The 20,369-nt window shown below is 39.7% G+C and overlaps 1 protein-coding gene across 8 annotated transcripts in view, besides 1 other annotated feature; it reads right to left on the bottom strand.

Moving 5' to 3' along the window:
• The window catches only part of ASTN2 (astrotactin 2), a 991,946-nt gene that overhangs the window by 243,818 nt on the left and 727,759 nt on the right, over nucleotides 1-20,369 (bottom strand). For 4 of the 8 annotated variants that reach the window (NM_001184734.1, NM_198188.2, NM_198187.3 and 1 more), the window contains exon 1: nucleotides 20,137-20,334. The exons of 3 other annotated variants lie outside the window; for them this stretch is intronic. Coding sequence is in view for 1 of the 5 variants with exons in the window: in NM_198186.3 (NP_937829.3) it covers nucleotides 19,768-19,876 (109 nt within the window). In the remaining 4 variants the exon portion in view is untranslated. Of the gene's footprint in view, nucleotides 1-19,767; nucleotides 20,335-20,369 lie in introns of those variants that run through there. One more of the 8 variants, NM_198186.3, reaches the window with a different exon arrangement.
• Nucleotides 20,043-20,362: an enhancer, noted in NCBI's record as "active region_28884". NCBI's record gives its function as "activates an Ori minimal core promoter by ATAC-STARR-seq in GM12878 lymphoblastoid cells {active_cell/tissue: GM12878}" and the evidence as "EXISTENCE:reporter gene assay evidence [ECO:0000049][PMID:35858748]".

The raw sequence follows: 20,369 nt of genomic DNA on the forward strand, positions 1-20,369 counted from the left end.
TTATACTTATTTATTTATTCTTTTTTTTTTTTTTTTTTTTTTTTGAGACAGAGTCTTGCTCTGTCACCCAGGCTGGGGTGTAGCGGTGTGATCTTGGCTCACTGCAACTTCTGCCTCCTGTGTTCAAGCTATTCTCCTACCTCAGCCTCCCAAGTAGCTGGGACTACAGGTGTGCACCACCACCCCTGGCTAATTTTTGTATTTTTAATAGAGACAGGAGTTCACCATGTTGGCCAGGCTGGTCTTGAACTCCTGACCTCAAGTGATCCACCCACCTCAGCCTCTCAAAGTGCTGGGATTACAGGCGTGAACCACCACACCTGGCCTTGATCCGTATTTAAATATACAGACTATGAAAGATATTTTTGAAGCAGTTAAGGTAATTTGAATATGAAATGCTAGATGTGATAATGATGTTGAGCTTATGTTAAAAAAAACTATCTGTTTGCAATATACACTGGGATATTTACAGAAGGAATAATATAATGCTGTATCTGGGATTTGCTTTGAAAGACTCTAGCAACAAAAAAACAAATTGCAGATAAGCAACAGCTGAAGCAAAGTTGGCAAAATATTGACAACAATTATTGCTAGGTGATGAATACATAGAGATTTATTATACCATTTTCTCTCCTTGTGTGTACTTAAAATCTTCCTTAATAAAACATTGAGAAAAGACGGCTGCCAGATTACACAAAATTGAAAAGGAAAATTATTGCTGGGAAATAGAATGAGGGGAGATTTTTCATATTCTACATTATGTACTGTTTTGATTCTTTCTTGTAAATGTGTGCTCACTTGTATTGTTTTTTAAAGACTATTTTTAGAACACCTTTAGGTTCACAGAAAAACTGAAATGAAGGCACAGAAAATTTCTCTATTTTCATGCCCCCCCACCCACCCACCTGCCACATAGCTTCCCCTGTCATCAACATCCCCAACAGAGTGGTACATTTGTTACAACTGATGAACGTACACTGACATATCATAAACACTTGAAGTCCAAAATTTATCATAGTAATCAGTGCTGGTGTTGAACATTCTATGGGTTTGTACAAATGTATAATGACATGTATCTACCACTGTAGTACCATGCAGAGTATTTTCACTGCCCTAAAAATACGGTGTGCTCCACCTATTCATCCATATCCCCTGCTCCCAACTCCTGGAAACCTGGAAACTCCTGAAATCTTTAGTCTCCACAGTTTTACCTTTTCCAGAATGTCATACAGTGGGAATCATACAGTATATAGATTTCAGATTGGCTTTTTTTTTTTTTTTTGAGACAGTCTCACTCTGTCACCCAGGCTGGAGTACAGTTGCACAATCTTGGGTCACCGCAACCTCCGCCCCCCAGGTTCAAGCGATTCTCCCGCCTCAGCCTCCTGAGTAGCTGGGATTATAGGCACCCGCCATCACGCCCGGCTAATTTTTGTATTTTTGTAGAGATAGGGTTTCACCCATGTTGGCCAGGCTGACCTTGAACTCCTGACCTCAGGTGATCCACCCGCCTCGGCCTCCCAAAATGCTGGGATTATAGGCATAAGCCACCATGCCCGGCCGCCTTCTTTTACTTACTAATATGCATTTAAGCTTCCTCCATGTATTTTCATGGTTTAGAAGCTCATTTCTTTTTATTGCTCAATATAGTACATTGTCTGGATGTACCACAAGCTATTTATCCATTCACCTATGAAGGACATATTGATTGCTCTCAAGTTTGGACAATTATGAATAAAGCTGATATAAATATCCATGTGCAGGTTTTTGTGTGGATATATGTTTTCAACTCCTTTGGACAAATACCAAGGAGCACAATTGCAAAGATCACATGGTAAGACTATGATTTAAGGGACATGAGAGGAATGCAGTATTTTGCTAGGACAGATGTAAGGATGGCTGGGCTTAGTGGGCTAGAAATGACTTAGTGTGTCGGTCAGTGAAGACAGGGAGGTAGGAGGTGAGACTCAACCCCAGAGGCAGAGACTCAGGCACCAGACCAGATTGAGGACTACCTAAAACAGGGCTAGGGCAGAAGCAGCTTTCCATAATATGTACCCAACAAAGTGTCATTGAGGTAGGAGGTGAGACTCAGCTCTGGAGGTGGGGATTCAGACACTGGACCAGATTGAGGACTAGCTAAAACAGGGTCAGGCGGAAGCTATTTTCCATAAGACATGTCCACCAGTGTGCCATGTCAGTTCACCATTGCCATGGCAACACCTAAAGGTTACTATCTTTTTCCACAGCAACTGTCCCATGAACCAGAAGTTACCACCCTTATCCTAGGAATTTCTGCATAAATCACCCCTTAATTTGCATGTAATTAAAAGTGGGTATAAATACGTCTGCAGAGCTGCTACTTTGGACACACTGCCTATGGAGTAGCCCTGCTCTACAGAGCGCAGGACCTATGCTGCTGCTCTACACTTCAATAAAAGTTGCTATCTAAAAAACAAACAAACAAACAAACAAAACAGTACATTTAGGTTTGTAAGAAACTGCCAAACCACCTTCCAAAGTGGCTGCGCATTTTGCATTCCTACCAGCAATGAACAAGAATTCCTGTGGCTCTGAATCATTGTCAGCACTTGATTTGCAGCATCTTTTCATATGCTTATTTGCCATATGTCTATCTTCCTTGGTGACATGTATATTAAAGTCTTCAGCCCATTTTTTTATTTGGGCTATTTTCTTATTGTTGAGTTTTAAGAGCTCTTTATATATTTTGGATAACAGTCCTTTATTGGATGTGTCTTTTGCAAATACTTTCTCCCAGTCTTTGGCTTGTATTCTCATTATCTTGACATTGTCTTTCATAGAGCAGAAGTTTTTCATTTTAATGAAATCCAGCTTATCAATGATTCCTTATGTATTGTATTTTTTTTTTTTTTGAGACAGAGTCTTGCTCTGTCACCCAGTCTGGAATGCAGTGGTGTGATCTTGGCTCACTGCAACCTCAACCTCTTGGGTTCAAGCAATTCTCTGCCTCAGCCTCCCACGTAGCTGGGATTACAGGCACGTGCCACCACGCCCAGCTAATTTTTGTATTTTTAGTAGAAATGGGGTTTCACCATGTTGGCCAGGCTGCTCTCAAACTCCTGACCTCAGGTGATCCACCCGCCTTGGCCTCCCAAAGTGTTGGGATTACAGGCATGAGCCACCATGCCCAGCCTGCACTACTTCTCATAAAGCCACCCATCAATCAAAAACATCTATTTGGGATGCTGAACAAATAAACAAAAAAACCTTGATTGTATTAAGCCACTGAGATTTAAGGGTTTATTGTTTATAACAGCTAGTATTGTCAAACTATGTAAGTACTTAGAACATGGTAAGGAATCAATAAACGCTAGTAATCACCATGATGATGATATGATGATGATCATGATGACAATCCCCCCGGACAAAGTGTCCACAAGGGCAGGAGGTAGAAGGGCTGGTCAAGTATGACTGAGTGGCTGGGCCAGGGGATCACAGCCTCCCCAAGTGCTGGGATTACAGGCATAAGCCACCGCACCTGGCCTTATGTATTGTATTTTTAAAAAGCAATAACATTTTCCTATTCTTCAAAATAAAACAGAAGAATAGATAAGCAGTGACATGAAAATAATATGTTGGGTAGAGGTGAGGGGTTGGGTAAAGGAGACTGTCTCTTTGTCTGTGGCCAGGCAGTCTTACAGATGTCAGTTGATGGAGTGGTTAATGGCAGCCACCATAAAGAGGAAAGCTGGCTGAAATACTGGAGCAAAGAGGAGCAGGAGATCTGGGACTGGGGCTGAGATGCAGGGCTTGGCAGAAATTAGGCCTATGAGAAATTTTCCCAGCAGCCTTCATTTAGCATTAAGTTGAGCTGAGGTTGTTAGCACTGCATAGGGAATCTTCTCTTGGCAATAACATTATTATTATTATTTCTGACCTTTGACTATCCATACTAGTTCAAACCATTACAAATTGGATCTGGTCAATGAACATAAATGTATATGATATTAAAATAAAGCTTCAAAATTCTGAACCAGTTGTTTCCATATCAACTCAAGGAAATAAACTAGAAAGGAAAAAAAATGTATCTGCACAAGGACATTTTTGCAATCTTATTTGAGCTAGTTCAATGTTCAAAGTTGGGTCTGTCAACTCTTAGGTAGGCAGTTTGACAATTATAAAGGCCAGTAAAAAATTATTTCAAACATTTTTCATATTAAGTAAATAAAATCCCAAAATTTATATTAGAAAAGAAAGTTTTTGAATACCTAGAATTATTATAGATACGTATTAACAGAGTAAGAGGAACTTAGTAAATGTTTACAATTAGATAAATATAACCATCATAATGATTATATTAAGGTGGTTGATAAAACTGACTCTTTTAAAATGCTCTTTTATAATTTAAATTTAAATTGAATTCAAACATCTATTGAGCACTTACCAAGTATCAGGTATAGGCTAGACTGAAAAATTTGGGGGCTGGGTACATCATATGGAGATTAGAGTCAGAATTTCAGCAAAAAGTAGAACTAAGTAGGCCAACAGATAATAAGAAAAGGAGGGAGGAAAGAAAAAGGGATGAAGAGAGAGCAAGTTGGGGTGGGGGGAACAACTCTAAAATGGCCTTCAACAATCCCCCCTCCTCATATTTACTACCTCCTCCACTTGAGTTACTTGCTCCCAAGCAACAGAATATGACAATATTGAGAGGATGCCACTTCTGTGATTAGGTTACAAAAGAGGTAACTTCCATTGTATTAGACTCCCTCTTGCTGGCTTTAAAAAAAACCAAATGAGTCATGAAGAGGCTCATGTGGCAAAGGATGGAGGGCAGTCTCCAGCCAAAAGCCAGCAAGGAACTGAGGACTTTGGTCCAACCACCCTTAAGGAACTGAATCTCATCAAAATATATATGTCATCTTGAAAATGGCTACTTCCCCATTTCAGCCTTCAGATGAGACCACAGCTTCTGCCATTAACTTGATTGCAGTTTTGTAAGACACTGTGAAGCAGAGAAACGAGATAACCTGTGCTTGGATTCCTGACTCACAAAAACTGTGAGAGGGGAAAAAAAGTGTGTTGTTTCGAGTGGCAAAATTTTGGAGGTAATTTGCTATATAATGACAGATAAGTAACATAAATACATAAAATTTTATATTATTTCATAAAAATTCTAGTGCTGGGCACAGTGACTCATACCTGTAATCCTAGCACTTTGGGAGGCTGAGGCAGGAGGATGGCTTGAGCTCAGGAGTTCAAGAACAGCCTGGGCAACATGGTGAAACCCCATATCTACAAAACATTACCTAGGCATGGTGGCATGAGCCTGTAGTCCCAGCTACTTGGGGGACTGAGGTGGGAGGATCACTTGAGCCAGGGAGGTCAAGGCTGCAGTGAGCTGAGATCATGACACTGCACTCCACCCTGGGTGACAGAATGAGATCTTGTCTCAAAAAAAAAAAAAATCTAGTAATTATAAACTTCTAGACTCAGACATATTTGTTAGGTTGTATAAGAGTTTTAAACCCTTACATTTTCTCTCCTATATTCTCTTCCTCCTCAGAATTCAGTTGCCAATGAGAGAAGAAAATGAGACTATTGTGTTGAGAATAGTAATAACAATAATAACAGTAATAATAACTACATTAACAGCTAACATCCACAGAGCACATATTCTTTACCAGGTGGTGCCTTTTGGATTTATTAAGTCATCAAACACTCACATTTCTGTGTGGTAGATGACTACTATTATCCCCCATTTTGCAGAGGAGGGAAGGGAAGTACAGAAGGCTAAGTTAGTTGTCCAAAGTTATAGAACTTGTCAGTTGCAAAAAGATACCAAGAATTGTTTCAAAATATCTTTTCATCTCTTCCTTAAAATACCCTTCCAACTGGGTGGTGTTGGGGTTCTGTCTGATTACAAAGCCCTCACTTTTTCTAGATAATGGTGTCCTTAATAAGCAAACTTAGTTTATATTATTAATAATAACAAATGCAATATAATGAACATTACTCCATATTAGGCAAAGTGCTAAATGTTTTACAACCAATTGAGACAAGAAAACAGGGTCTGAAGGCAGGGAACATAAGGCTGATTCCCACTTAAGCTATGACAGGAAATATCCTCTCCATAGGTAGGGCATAGGCCAAGTAAATAACTTCATAACTTTACTTCATCCTCTTCATTTACATAGAGCATACACCCAAGTAACCAATGGAATCATCTAGAGGGTATTTAAACTCCCCAAAATTCTGGCCCCTATGCTTGGGGCTGCTCCCACACTGTGGAGTGTTCTTTCATTTTCAATAATTCCATTCATTCCTTCCTTGCTTTGTTTGTGGGTTTTGTCCAATTCTTTGTTCAAGCCACCAAGAACCTGGACACAATTCACCGGTTACATATCTCATCTTGCTCCCAACAATCCTGTGTTAACTATTGTTATCCCTATTTTAAAGACAATGAAAGAAAACTAGAGATCTTCTTTATAAATGAAGAAAACAATATTAAGCTCAAAGGGTGGTGTTATCAGTGGAATTGTGTCCTCCCCCAAAATATGTTGAAAGCCTAATCTCCAGTACATTGGAATGTGACCTTATTTGCAAATGGGGTGATTTTAGTTGTAACTGGTTAAGACAATGTAATACTGGAGTGGGGCAGGTCCTTAATCCAATATGACAGATGGCTTTACAAGAATGCGTAGACATATACACAGAGGAAATGCCATGAGGAGGTAGAGATTGAAGTTATGCTCACACAAGGCAAAAAAATGCCTGGGGCCACCAGAAGTTGGAAGAGGCAAGGAATAATCTCTCTCTAGAAGTTTTGGAGAGAATATGGCCCTGGTGACACCTTAATTTGAGTTTTCTATGCTCCAAAACTGTGAGAGAATAAATTTTTCATTTTAAGCCACCTAGCTTGTGGTACTTTGTTACTGCAACCTTAGCAAACTGATGAAGCCACCTTTGCTAAACTATGACTGAGATAGTGAAAGAGATCTAACTTAACTGACTCCATCTTGCTTCTAACCTCCATGCTGTCCTTGTTCATTCCTGGGCATAGGCTGAACTAACTTTGGGAGAAACTTAGTTTGTAGTTTATAGTTTAAAGAAAAATGGTAACAGCTCTTTCCAAAGCAGACCTCCTTCTTGCCTGGGGACTAGATTGCCTTTGTAGGACTAACATTAGCCACAGATTAGAAATTATGGTTTAGGAGTCATGCAGCTGGAGGTTACAAGATGCTGACCCTCCCTAAACTGCTCCTGAGATCAGTGCTTGAGATATTTTGCAGACCCTGCACTTGATGGATCAGCTGGCACTACCCAAATCAATACTTGCCAGGTTCTGACCCACAGACCCCAGCTGCATGACAGATGAATAACGTACTCAGACACTGATATTCAGTGAAAGAGAGGCTACAGGGCCAGGCCACACACAGAGTTGTGGCAATCACACACTTTGATTAGCTGGCCCTGCCGGCATTTATTCAGCACAGATTTAATGACAAAGGCTTTGAGTCAACACACCTGTGGGCAATTAATCTGGTCGCCCTCCCCCGGAGAGAGCCATCCTGCCCACAAATGATCAAAGGTTGGTTTTAGGACAATGGGAGTAAACAAGCTATTTAGATAAACTTCCCCACATTCCCTTGTTATTTGCTTTTTTGCTATCAACTAAAGGTAAAGAGGACTAGGCTGCCTTCAGCCAAATCTTTTACTGAAGCTATGCAATCCCCCTGGCCTTCCAAGAAGGTTTGTGTCTATCTCCTATAACTATATCTTTATAATTTTCTCCAACCACCCTGACCAATCCCCTACATAAACTGGCTCATCTGATCTTGTGGCCCTGGACTCAGGAACTGACTCAGTGCAAGGAGACAGCTTCAACTCCCTATGATTTCATCCCTGACCAATCAGCACTCCTGGCTCACTGGCTTCCCCCAGCCACCAAGTTATCCTTAAAAACTCTGCTCCCCAAATGCTCAGGGAGACTGATTTGAGTAATAATAAAACTCCAGTCTTCCACACAGCGAGCTCTGCTTGAATTACTCTTTCTCCATTGCAATTCCCGTCTTGATGAATCGGCTCTGTCTACGCAGTGGGCAAGGTGAACCCCCTGGGCAGTTACAAATTCAGGGGCTTGTCCAGGATTGCCCTTGTGGCTACCTGCTCATGGTTCAGTGCCCCCCCACGCTCCAGCAATGGATCCAGAGGCCAGCCCAAGTGGCTGCCTAGTTCTTTTGGACTGGGGCTGACTCTGGTACTCTATTGGTGGGGTACTGCTGATCCAATGTGCAAGGATTTAATTGCAATGGAGAAATAATCCTGGGGAGATATCCCTTAACTGTAGCCCTATCACAGGGTGTCAGTCTGTAGCTCCATTGTAGGGTGTTTGGATTGGTGACTATCCTAGGTGCTTCCAATGCCTCCTTCCTTCTCCCAGCTGGTCTGTAGCCCTATGGTGGGGTGTCTGTAGCCCCAATGCAGGGAGTCTGTTTATAGCTCCACCATGGTGTGTCTGCATCTGTAGCCCCATTGCGGGGTGTCTGTTTGGCTCCTTCCAGGGGTTCTTGGTTAGCTCTTTCCAACTAGTAGGAAGAGTCTTGGTTTGGGAGACTTCTCATTCAGGAGGATTTCGAGGAGGATTCTCAGATGGAGAATAGGAGGATAGTTTGGAAGGGATACTCTTGGAGTTCTTGATCAGGGATCTGATTTGGAAGGCCTTCTGTCTGTCATGTCTTTCTGTGTGTTTGTATATGTGAAGGGGATCTCAGAAGGAATTGCTGCTGGAAGTCCAGCAGGCTTAACTCAGAGAACCCTCCTTATTTGTCTAGTTACATTTGGTGAGCCCTAAAGAAAGCTCAACAGGCCTGTCTCAGGGTGACCATCTGCTCTTGGCCTTGCCCAGAGACCCCATTGTGAATTGCCATTTAGAGGTCATGCCTTCCCACCTGGAGTGGATCAAAGACAACAGGGACCAACAGGGAAAAAGTTTGAGCTTTGCCAGGTTGACATTGCGTGCTGAACAAGGTGACTAATGTCTGTTTTGTTATGTGTATTTTGCTGGGATGAAAAATTTTAATTCAGTTCCCTAAGCAGCATATTGGGCAGCATTTGCAAATTAAGAATCTTGTCTATGGTTCCATAAAACAGTAAAGGGTGATTTTCTCTTGTAAAGTGGCTTGACCCCCACAGCTATAGCACAAGAGAACAGGGTCACGAGAAGCCGCTCCGTTCTTCTGGAAGCTGCAGAGAAAAGGAAACTGGAAATCTGATATGCCAGCAAAAAGGGTAAGAAATTCTTACCAGCCAAATTTCTCTCTCTCTCTTTCTCTGTCTGGGTAAACAGTAAACTATTTGTCTCCCCTGCAAGGGTTTGATTAATAGCAAAAAGGATTTGTGAGACTAGTCTTAGGCCATAGCAAATCTGGTGTACTTTGTGCTAAGAATTTGTCTTTCTGTGTTCTGTAATGGAGAGAGGGGTATCACAGGATAGAATGTGGATTTAGGATCCCTACAAGCCTGCTTTTCAAGGCAGTTTGGCAGGCTGGTCAGTTACAAACTTTGCTACAGGTCCCTGAAACCAACACAGTACAAAATTCCTCTGTCTTGTTTTGTGTCCTTAAGAGCTCAACCTTGTGACCATATGGGGATACTTTCTTTTGGTTTGCACTATCCAGAAGACAGACATTTGTGGGCTCATGTCATAGTTAGCCATAAAAATTTTTTTTGAGCAGTTAAAAGCCTTGCAAGCTTGAAATTGGCTTCTCTAGGCTCCTTCTAGGAAAAGCAATAGAAACTGCTCAATGCTGTACAGCTCAGTAGCCAAGGCTTTATCTTTTGAAAGTGGTGGCCTGGGTTCAATTGTTGGCTTCTGGAATGATTCCTTTCTGGTTTGTTATTAGTGTAGCATTGCCATTTACTGAGGTTTTTCCCCCCATGGTAGTTTCTGATTTCCTCTCTTGAATTTTCCTTTTTCTGAACTACCTTGTGGAAATTCTAAATCTTGTAAAAAAGAAACTACTTACCATGTCTTTGAAGCACCTAGGAAGTTACCTTTGGTAAAGTTTAGAAGCTACAAATATTGGCCGCTTGGCATGGCTAAAGCCAGGTAATAAGAGATTTGAAATGATTTTTTTTAAAGAGCACTATGGTTAAAAGTCAGCTTAATTAAAAGTGGATAAACAAACTATAGATATATTTTAAAAGCCTTTATGTTTTTCTCTTCTTGGAACTTGTTTTTCTGGAAAAAGGTTTTTTTCCCTTCTCAGTCTACTGAATTATTTTTCTCCATTTTTTTGTCTTGCCACTCTTAATGCATACATGAGAGGCACTAAGATAACTTCTCATAGCTTGGGACTCCTTGGGAAAGACAGAGGAGGCACCATAGACCCTGTTTTGGAAAAAAAAACCTCTGTTTTCTTCATTAAAATCTAGTAATTAAAAGTGGATGGATCCCTCTCAAAATCAAACACTCTGTTCTGTTTTGCATTGTGTTATCTGACAGTTTTGAGTTTGGGGGTATCAGAAATTACTTGGCATTATGAGAGAGCTTTGGTTTGTAATAACTAGGTAGGAAATATACTTTAAGGAATGGCTAATAGCACTTATGGAGGGATACTTGACTTTTTGCACACTTGGATCAGAGAAGCATGCTATTGGCCACCTGGAAGATAAGGAAACACCCCCACCCCCCACTGGAAGATGAGACTCCCAAGAGAGATGGGCTGATTACAAAATGGGCTGATTGGCTTTGGGTTGCCTTGCAATGAAATACAGGGTAGAAGCACTGCACTGTCTTCTCCCATAGTATTTCCCTCCTTTTGGGGACCCAGGATCCAGTATAAAATGGGACCCTTAATTTTGGGTATCTGTCTTTGCGTTCAGCTGCTTATTTGCTGCTTATTTGGCCCTAGAAAGGCATGCTTTCCTGGCCCTCTTCCTCCAAGGGCTTCACCCTGAAGCCAGTAATCCAATTAAGAAACTGGGAAATGAAAAATATTACAAGTGCTGAAGCATCTGTCCATCTGCTGTCTATTTATATGTGTTGTATGTTTATATCTAAAAGAGCTCTGATTAATTGGCTTAGAAAAATAAGCATTTAAATCAAATATTTTATCAGAAAAATAGAAACTTTAATGCCTTTTTGTTCATATGACTTCAGTAATCTTTTGGAAATAAAGACAGTTTTAAAGATTATTGGTAAAATGTCTTAAAAATATAGACACTTGTTCTAAATTAAGGTCAGATATCAGATTTGTTAAATGCTTAAGGTCCAACTGTTTCCTTGACTTTTGAAAATTGTTCAACTTACCTACTTTGGGGCATTAGATTATAGATAAGGCCTGGGGACAAATGGAGAGCCATGACCAACATCTACAATAAAAAGAGTCAGACCTTATCGTCACTTCTGTCTGATGTCCTAGGCTCCACCCCTAGTACATAATTAAAATCACTTACTTATCAGGTTTTTCACTAAAAATAAAAGTTGCTAAGAGTTAACATTGTAACATGTTATTGAGACCACTGGAGAAACAGTTTTACATATAAGGTGTGTAGGGAACGTGTTTTTGGTAAAAGATTATAAGAAGGCATGGAGATACGGCTTTTGTTAAAAGGAATGTAATTTTGTCTAGTTCAGAGGGTTTTAAAGATTGTCTTAACCTACAAGTGTAATGGAACAAAACTGAAGGTTAAGCAAAGTGAAAAGGGCTTATAAAGGGTTGATCTTGTAAAAAACATTCTGTGGGTATAAACAAGATGGCTAAGATTTGATTGAAATTATTTAGCTTTTTTTCCATAGATTAAAACATTAAAATCATACTCATGTGGGGCCAGAATCTGGGACCATGTGTCTGAATAACCAGGTTTTCTTAGAAAATTGATCTGTTTGATAGAAAATTGTAAAGAGTTCTAAACAGTTTATGAAAATCTTACCTTATGACCAAACTAATTAAAAACGGATATAAAATTTTATTTTAAAAAGTAGTTTTAACATTAAAGATGCACTAATGCAAACATGAAATTTGGTTTTCTCTTTTGAAGATGATTTTCATGTAATGTTAAAAGATAATGAAAGGGTTTCGTTTTTCCCTCTGGGTAAATGGCAGGCAAGACAGAAAAGAGACAAATTCAGTTAGCCTCATGCTATCTTTATTGGGTCTTATTTGGAAAGCTAAGTCTCCTCTATCAGAGTAAAGGTTTTTCTTTTTAAAAATTTTTGAAGTTATCATTTTGGCCAAATGAATTAGTTATGGTTATCATTTTAGCCAAATTGATGACTTATGGTAACCTGGGATTCTATTTTATAATATCCAGTGTTTTAAACCTTTGTTATTTGACAAACTTTCCAAAATCAAATTATAAATTATGCCTCTTTCTAGCCTAATCTTTTAGATATTAAATCCTGTAAAGTCCAAAAATGACATTTGGCTTATTTCATATGAAACTCATACAAGAAGCACTGTCAAATAGGAAATGATGTTTGGCTTTCTTTGGAACATTTGTGTAAATGTGTTACTGGCGTATGTTCCGAAATTATGTAAAACTCCTATAATTCTAATATGACTTAGTATATGTTATCAGTAATAATTATAATTATTATGTTAAATGACTGTGTGCCACAGAGGTAACAAATTCCCTTGTCAATTGTGTCTTCAAGTGTGGCTGCCCTCACCACACCACACCTATTCCAAAATTGACCACATAGTTGGAAGTAAAACTCTCCTCAGCAAATGTAAAAGAACAGAAATTATAACTGTCTCTCAGAACACAGTGCAATCAAACTTGAACTCAGGATTAAGAAACTCACTCAAAACCGCTCAACTACATGGAAACTGAACAACCTGCTCCTGAATGACTACTGGGTACATAACGAAATGAAGGCAGAAATAAAGATGTTCTTTGAAACCAATGAGAACAAAGACACAACATACCAGAATCTCTGGGACACATTCAAAGCAGTGTGTAGAGGGAAATTTATAGCAATAAATGCCCATAAGAGAAAGCAGGAAAGATCTAAAATTGACACCCTAACATCACAATTAAAAGAACTAAAAAAGCAAGAGCAAACACATTCAAAAGCTAGCAGAAGGCAAGAAATAACTAAAATCAGAGCAGAAGTGAAGGAAATAGAGACACAAAAAACCCTTCAAAAAATTAATGAATCCAGGAGCTGGTTTTTTGAAAGGATCAACAAAATTGATAGACCACTAGCAAGACTCATAAAGAAGAAAAGAGAGAAGAATCAAATAGACGCAATAAAAAATGATAAAGGGGATATCACCACCGATCCCACGGAAATACAAACTACCATCAGAGAATACTACAAACACCTCTACGCAAATAAACTAGAAAATCTAGAAGAAATGGATAAATTCCTGGACACATACACCATCCCAAGACTAAACCAGGAAGAAGTTGAATCTCTGAATAGACCAATAACAGGATCTGAAATTGTGGCAATAATCAATAGCTTACCAACCAAAAAGAGTCCAGGACCAGATGGATTCACAGCCGAATTCTACCAGGGGTACAAGGAGGAACTGGTATCATTCCTTCTGAAACTATTCCAATCAACAGAAAAAGAGGGAATCCTCCCTAACTCATTTTATGAGGCCAGCATCATCCTGATACCAAAGCCGGGCAGAGACACAACCAAAAAGGAGAATTTTAGATCAATATCCTTGATAAACATTGATGCAAAAATCCTCAATAAAATACTGGCAAACCGAATCCAGCAGCACATCAAAAAGCGTATCCACCATGATCAAGTGGGCTTCATCCCTGGGATGCAAGGCTGGTTCAATATATGCAAATCAATAAATGCAATCCAGCATATAAACAGAACCAAAGACAAAAATCACATGATTATCTCAATAGATGCAGAAAAGGCCTTTGACAAAATTCAACAACCTTCATGCTAAAAACTCTCAATAAATTAGGTATTGATGGGACGTATTTGAAAATAACAAGAGCTATCTATGACAAACCCACAGCCAATATCATACTGAATAGACAAAAACTGGAAGCATTCCCTTTGAAAACTGGCACAAGACAGGGATGCCCTCTCTCACCACTCCTATTCAACATAGTGTTGGAAGTTCTGGCCAGGGCAATTAGGCAGGAGAAGGAAATAAAGGGTATTCAATTAGGAAAAGAGGAAGTCAAATTGCCCCTAGTTGCAGATGACATAATTGTATATCTAGAAAACCCCATTGTCTCAGCCCAAAATCTCCTTAAGCTGATAAGCAACTTCAGCAAAGTCTCAGGATACAAAATCAATGTACAAAAATCACAAGCATTCTTATATACCAATAACAGACAAACGGAGAGCCAAATCATAAGTGAACTCCCATTCACAATTGCTTCAAAGTGAATAAAATACCTAAGAATCCAACTTACAAGGGACGTGAAGGACCTCTTCAAGGAGAACTACAAACCACTGCTCAATGAAATAAAAGAGGATACAAACAAATGGAAGAACATTCCATGCTCATTGGTAGGAAGAATTAATATCGTGAAAATGGCCATACTGCCCAAGGTAATTTACAGATTCAATGCCATCCCCATCAAGCTACCAATGACTTTCTTCATAGAATTGGAAAAAACTACTTTAAGGTTCATATGGAACCAAAAAAGAGCCTGCATTGCCAAGTCAATCCTAAGCCAAAAGAACAAAGCTGGAAGCATCACGCTACCTGACTTCAAACTATACTACAAGGCTACAGTAACCAAAACAGCATGGTACTGGTACCAAAACAGAGATATAGATCAATGGAACAGAACAGAGCCCTCAGAAATAACACCGCATATCTACAACTATCTGATCTTTGACAAAACTGAGAATAACAAGCAATGGGGAAAGGATTCCCTATTTAATAAATGGTGCTGGGAAAACTGGCTAGCCATATGTAGAAAGCTGAAACTGGATCCCTTCCTTACACCTTATACAAAAATTAATTCAAGATGGATTAAAGACTTAAACGTTAGACCTAAAACCATAAAAACCCTAGAAGAAAACCTAGGCATTACCATTCAGGACATAGGCATGGGCAAGGACTTCATGTCTAAAACATCAAAAGCAATGGCAACAAAAGCCAAAATTGACAAATGGGATCTAATTAAACTAAAGAGCTTCTGCACAGCAAAAGAAACTACCATCAGAGTGAACAGGCAACCTACAAAATGGGAGAAAATTTTCGCAACCTACTTATCTGACAAAGGGCTAATATCCAGAATCTACAATGAACTCAAACAAATTTACAAGAAAAAAACAAACAACCCCATCAAAAAGTGGACGAAGGACATGAGCAGACACTTCTCAAAAGAAGACATTTATGCAGCCAAAAAACACATGAAAAAATGCTCACCATCACTGGCCATCAGAGAAATGCAAATCAAAACCACAATGAGATACCATCTCACACCAGTTAGAATGGCAATCATTAAAAAGGCAGGAAACAACAAGTGCTGGAGAGGATGTGGAGAAATAGCAACACTTTTACACTGTTGGTGGGACTGTAAACTGGTTCAAACATTGTGGAAGTCAGTGTGGCAATTCCTCAGGGATCTAGAACTAGAAATACCATTTGACCCAGCCATCCCATTACTGGGTATATACCCAAAGGACTATAAATCATGCTGCTATAAAGACGCATTCACACGTATGTTTACTGTGGCACTATTCACAATAGCAAAGACTTGGAACCAACCCAAATGTCCAACAATGATAGACTGGATTAAGAAAATGTGGCACATATACACCATGGAATACTATGCAGCCATAAAAAATGATGAGTTCATGTCCTTTGTAGAGACATGGATGAAATTGGAAATCATCATTCTCAGTAAACTATCGTAAGAACAAAAAACCAAACACCGCATATTCTCACTCATAGGTGGGAATTGAACAATGAGAACACATGGACACAGGAAGGGGAACATCACACTCTGGGGACTGTTGTGGGGTGGAGGGAGAGGGGAGGGATAGCATTAGGAGACATACCTAATGCTAAATGACGAGTTAATGGGTGCAGCACACCAGCATGGCACATGTATACATAGGTAACTAACCTGCACATTGTGCACATGTACCCTAAAACTTAAAGTATAATAATAATAAAATAAAATAAAAAATAAAAAATAAATTAAAAAAAAAAGTGTGGCTGCCCTAAAATGTTTTTGTCATCCATATACAATTGTTGTCTCGCTTTGGTCCTCTTTAACGGATGGTTTTATAATCAGCTATAAAATTTAACAGGCCCTCTTAAATGCAGGTTTCTGATTAAAAACTCTGGAGACTGTGATATTAGAATCGAGGAAAAACTTTCAAATTGAAGAGTGAATAGTGTTTGGTTTTCTTTGGACTATATTTGTATAAATATGTTATTAGTATGTGTTCCAGAAATTATGGGAAACTTCTATAATTCTGATATGATTTAGAGTACATTATTAATAATTATAATTGTTATATAAAAGTGTTGTATGCCACAGAAGTAACCAAGATTCCTAGTCAATTGCAGCTTTAATAGTAGCTATAGACTTTTGTCATCCATAGACATTTTGTCTTGCTTTTGTCCTTTTCAAAAGGCAGTTTATAATCAGATATCACACTCTGAGTGCAGGTCTCAGATAACTTTAAAAATTGTTTTATTGGAATAGAGGAAAAAATGAAACTTCTAGGCTTCTCACAGATAGCTGATGTGTTAAGCATTGCTAATCCTCTCATTTTCAGAGTCAAGATAGCATATTTCTTTAGAGTTATTTGCAACTTTTAACAAATGAGTAAAAAATACTTCCATGAAAAAAATTTAGAGCATATTTGTTTCTCTCTACCTGATTTCTCCTGAATATGGAAACTATTTGTAAGTATTCTCAATTTATGCCAGTATACTTAATTGCATAAGTGCAGTAAGAATCTGTTTTTGTCTTGTAACAGGACACAACTGGAGAAATTGATTATTTTACCAAGGCTTTTACTGGAATGGCATGCTTCCTTCAAAGAATCAAAATTAATGTATAGAGCCAATTAAAGCCCCCTGGGGAATCTAACCTCAGACCTTGTCTATAGTCCCTGTACAAGGTTCTGTCATACAGTCCCTGTACAAGGTTCCTGACCTGTGGTAAGTAAAGAATGTCACTTTCTAACAGGCCCAGGAACCCCAAGTTATTTTGGGACCTTGAGAAGAGAGGAATTTACCCAACTCATAGGTATTTGAGGATACAAACCCATGGCTGAGCTTGGCTTTTAAAAACTCTTATCTGAGATTCCTCATGGAACAGAGTTCCATCAAAGCTAATTTAAACAAAAAAGACCCTAAGTGAAAAATAATTATTCTTGCTGCACTTTATGCAAATAATCAGGCCAAGTATAGTAAGACTAAAGTACATTTCTGTAAACAAATCAGTTCTATCATGATTTGTTTTTAATAAAAATGGGGTCTGGAGAGAGAGAAATTATGCTTCAAGAGGAAACCTATTGTTAGCTGTTGTTAGCTGTCCTTGAGTTTTTTCTACAATTTTGACTAAATCCTAAATTATTTGTGGGTTGGAAGTCGCCAGACTAATGCTTTCAAATCTTTGCTTTTAAAATTGAGTATTGTACTCCTCATCCTAGGACTCATTATTTACCTTATAGTAGGCTGTTCACCTAAATACTGTACTAAAACTATAGATGAGAGTACTAATGTTTTTGCCATGCAAGCCTTAGAAGCCCAGCCAGACCTGCATGAGTCGCTCAGACACTTGAAAGTGGTCCCACTCTTCTCACCTTGGGGTTGACTCCCATTCCCACTACGTCCCCTGTCAGCAAGAAGAACCCAGAGCAATCGACAGCCTTTTCCCATCTTCATACCCTACACTTTAAGATTAAGGTGTTACAAAACCCAAAGTGATGGACTGAAACTGCCTTTGCAAAATTATGATTGAGACAGTAAAAGAGATCTAACTTAACTGACTCCATCTTGCTTCTAACTTCCAAGCTGTCCTTGTTCATTCCTGGGCATAGGCTGAACTAACTTTGGGAGAAATTTAGTCTGTAGTTCATAGTTTAAACAAAGACAGTAACAACCCTATCCCAAAGCAGACCTCCTTGCCTGGGTACTAGATTGCCTTTGTAGGACTAACATTAGCCACAAGATTAGAAATTGCGGTTTAGGAGTCATGCAGCTGGAGGTTACAAGATGCTGAGCCTCCCTAAAATGCTTCTGAGATCAGTGCTTGAGATATTTTGCAGACCCTGCACTTGATGGATCAGCTGGCACCACCCAGATCAATAAACTCACTCATCTGATCTTGTGGCCCCCCCACTCAGGAACTGACTCACTGCAAGGAGACAGCTTCGACTCCCTATGATTTCATCCCTGACCAACAGCGCTCCTGGCTCACTGGCTTCCCCCAACCCACCAAGTTATCCTTAAAATCTCTGTTCCCCAAATGCTCAGGGAGATGACTTGAGTAATCATAAAACTCCAGTCTCCCGCACAGCTGACTCTGCGTGAATTACTCTTTAACTATTGCAATTCCCCTGTCTTGATGAATCAGCTCTGTCTAGGCAGTGGGCAAGGTAAACTCCTCAGGTGGTTCCACTGATATAGGTGATTTAAGTGTTAAATAAAAATCTGTTACATTAAAATGCTGAATAAAGAGTGTTTAAAGCACTCCACAAAGATTATTTTTTAAATGCCTCTGTGTAAGAGGAATTCTAATATTGTGCCAGGATATGTCAAGCTATAAGATAAAAATTGAGTGCATTTCCTAGAATGCTTATTCTACTCTAAGATTTTGTGAGAGGTATAATAATTCATTTAACTGGTAATAAACATTAAAGAAGAGTCAAACACTGATTTTTGTTTTAAGGGAGAAGAGAGATTTTTTTTTTTCAAGACACTTGCTTGAGCTAGATCCCCAGGAGTATTTTTAACACTCCTCTGTAATTAGGGAAACATCAGTATGTCTGTATTGATACATATACACACATATATAATATGTATATATGTAAGACTATGAACAGTCCTAAATTTATACTTTGGGCTGATAACTGTGGTTTTCAGGAAAAAAAAAAATTTTAAACGGGTGCAAAGTCTCCCCAACTGGTCTAAGTGAGAAATCATTTGGCATTACCTCTCCCTTATCCCCTACCTGCTAATTACAATTTTTCAAATATAGTTATCATTAAGTGCAAACTACCATAATCTTGGCTTATCTTCATGGCAAACTTCAATTAGAAATTTAGAAAATGGGGAGAAAGAGTAAACAAGGTTAAGAGAGTGGGTTCTCAGATAGAATTGGGTACAAATTTGGGCTCCAACACTTAGGTATATGTGGCCTTGTGTAACCACCTAGGTTACACAACAGGTGTAGGTTAACCATCAGCTGCCTTATCTCATTAGGTCCTTATGAGGATTTAGTGAGCTATGCACCTGAAGTCCTCAGCTGTAGCCAGACAGCAAGTGTTCAAAGATGTTAGTCATTGTTTTTGTTTATTGTTTTATCATTGTGCAGGGTCACATAGCTAAGGGGAATTTCAAATCCAAGTCCATCCTACTTCAAACTCCTTTGTGCTCCTAAGCTGTACAGTATAGTCACCTTGGAGAGTAGGTGATTGGCCCCAAACTACTTCAGGGACTGCAGGTCGTGGCCAGCCAGTCCTGTATCAGACCTCGTCCTTGCCAGATGCCTAGTGCCCCAGATTCCCTCAAATCTCAGGCCAGATCACCTCCCACCTGGTAAGATTCCTCCACCTTCACCCGAGCAAAACTACACTTGGTTTGGGTTCCCGGGTACCTTCAGTCTGCAGGGACAGGGGCTGCAGAGTGTACTCCCCAAGTCTGCCTCTGCTGTCGGCCTCCCAGCTGAGTAGGCAAAACATTCCTTTACAGAGCAATGTGTTCATGGATAAACTTGTCTCTAGTGCAGCTCTCTGTCAGAGCACAGAACATGAGGCCAAAGCACTGCCCTTCCTAGGGAGTCCCGGTTCTCGACTTCCCCAGAATGGAAGTTTGATTTTTCCGTTGGCCCATTTCTCAGATGGAAAAACAGATTCAGTAAGGTGCCAACGCTTTGCTGAGGACTACCCTGGAGGCTACCGTTTTGTGAAGGGGTAGACATTGAGACTGGAGTCAGATACGCATTCTGGCTTATCTCCTGACTTACTGAGTGAACTTGAGCAGGTCCCTTTCGCCCATGGGCGTCGGTTTCTTCATCTGCACCAAGGAGACGGAAAACTGGATTACGTGTCGCTAAGGCCCCGGGTTCTCAGAGGAAAGCTCACCCCTGCAGGGCCGCCTTGCCCCGCGCGCTTGGGGCCAGCTGCACGACAAGCCCCAGCATGCTGGGGAGGCGGGGCTCAGTGACGGACAGGGAGCTCTGCGAATTGGCGCCCGGCA

Source organism: Homo sapiens, chromosome 9, assembly GCF_000001405.40.
Source record: "Homo sapiens chromosome 9, GRCh38.p14 Primary Assembly".
NCBI lineage: Eukaryota > Metazoa > Chordata > Mammalia > Primates > Hominidae > Homo > Homo sapiens.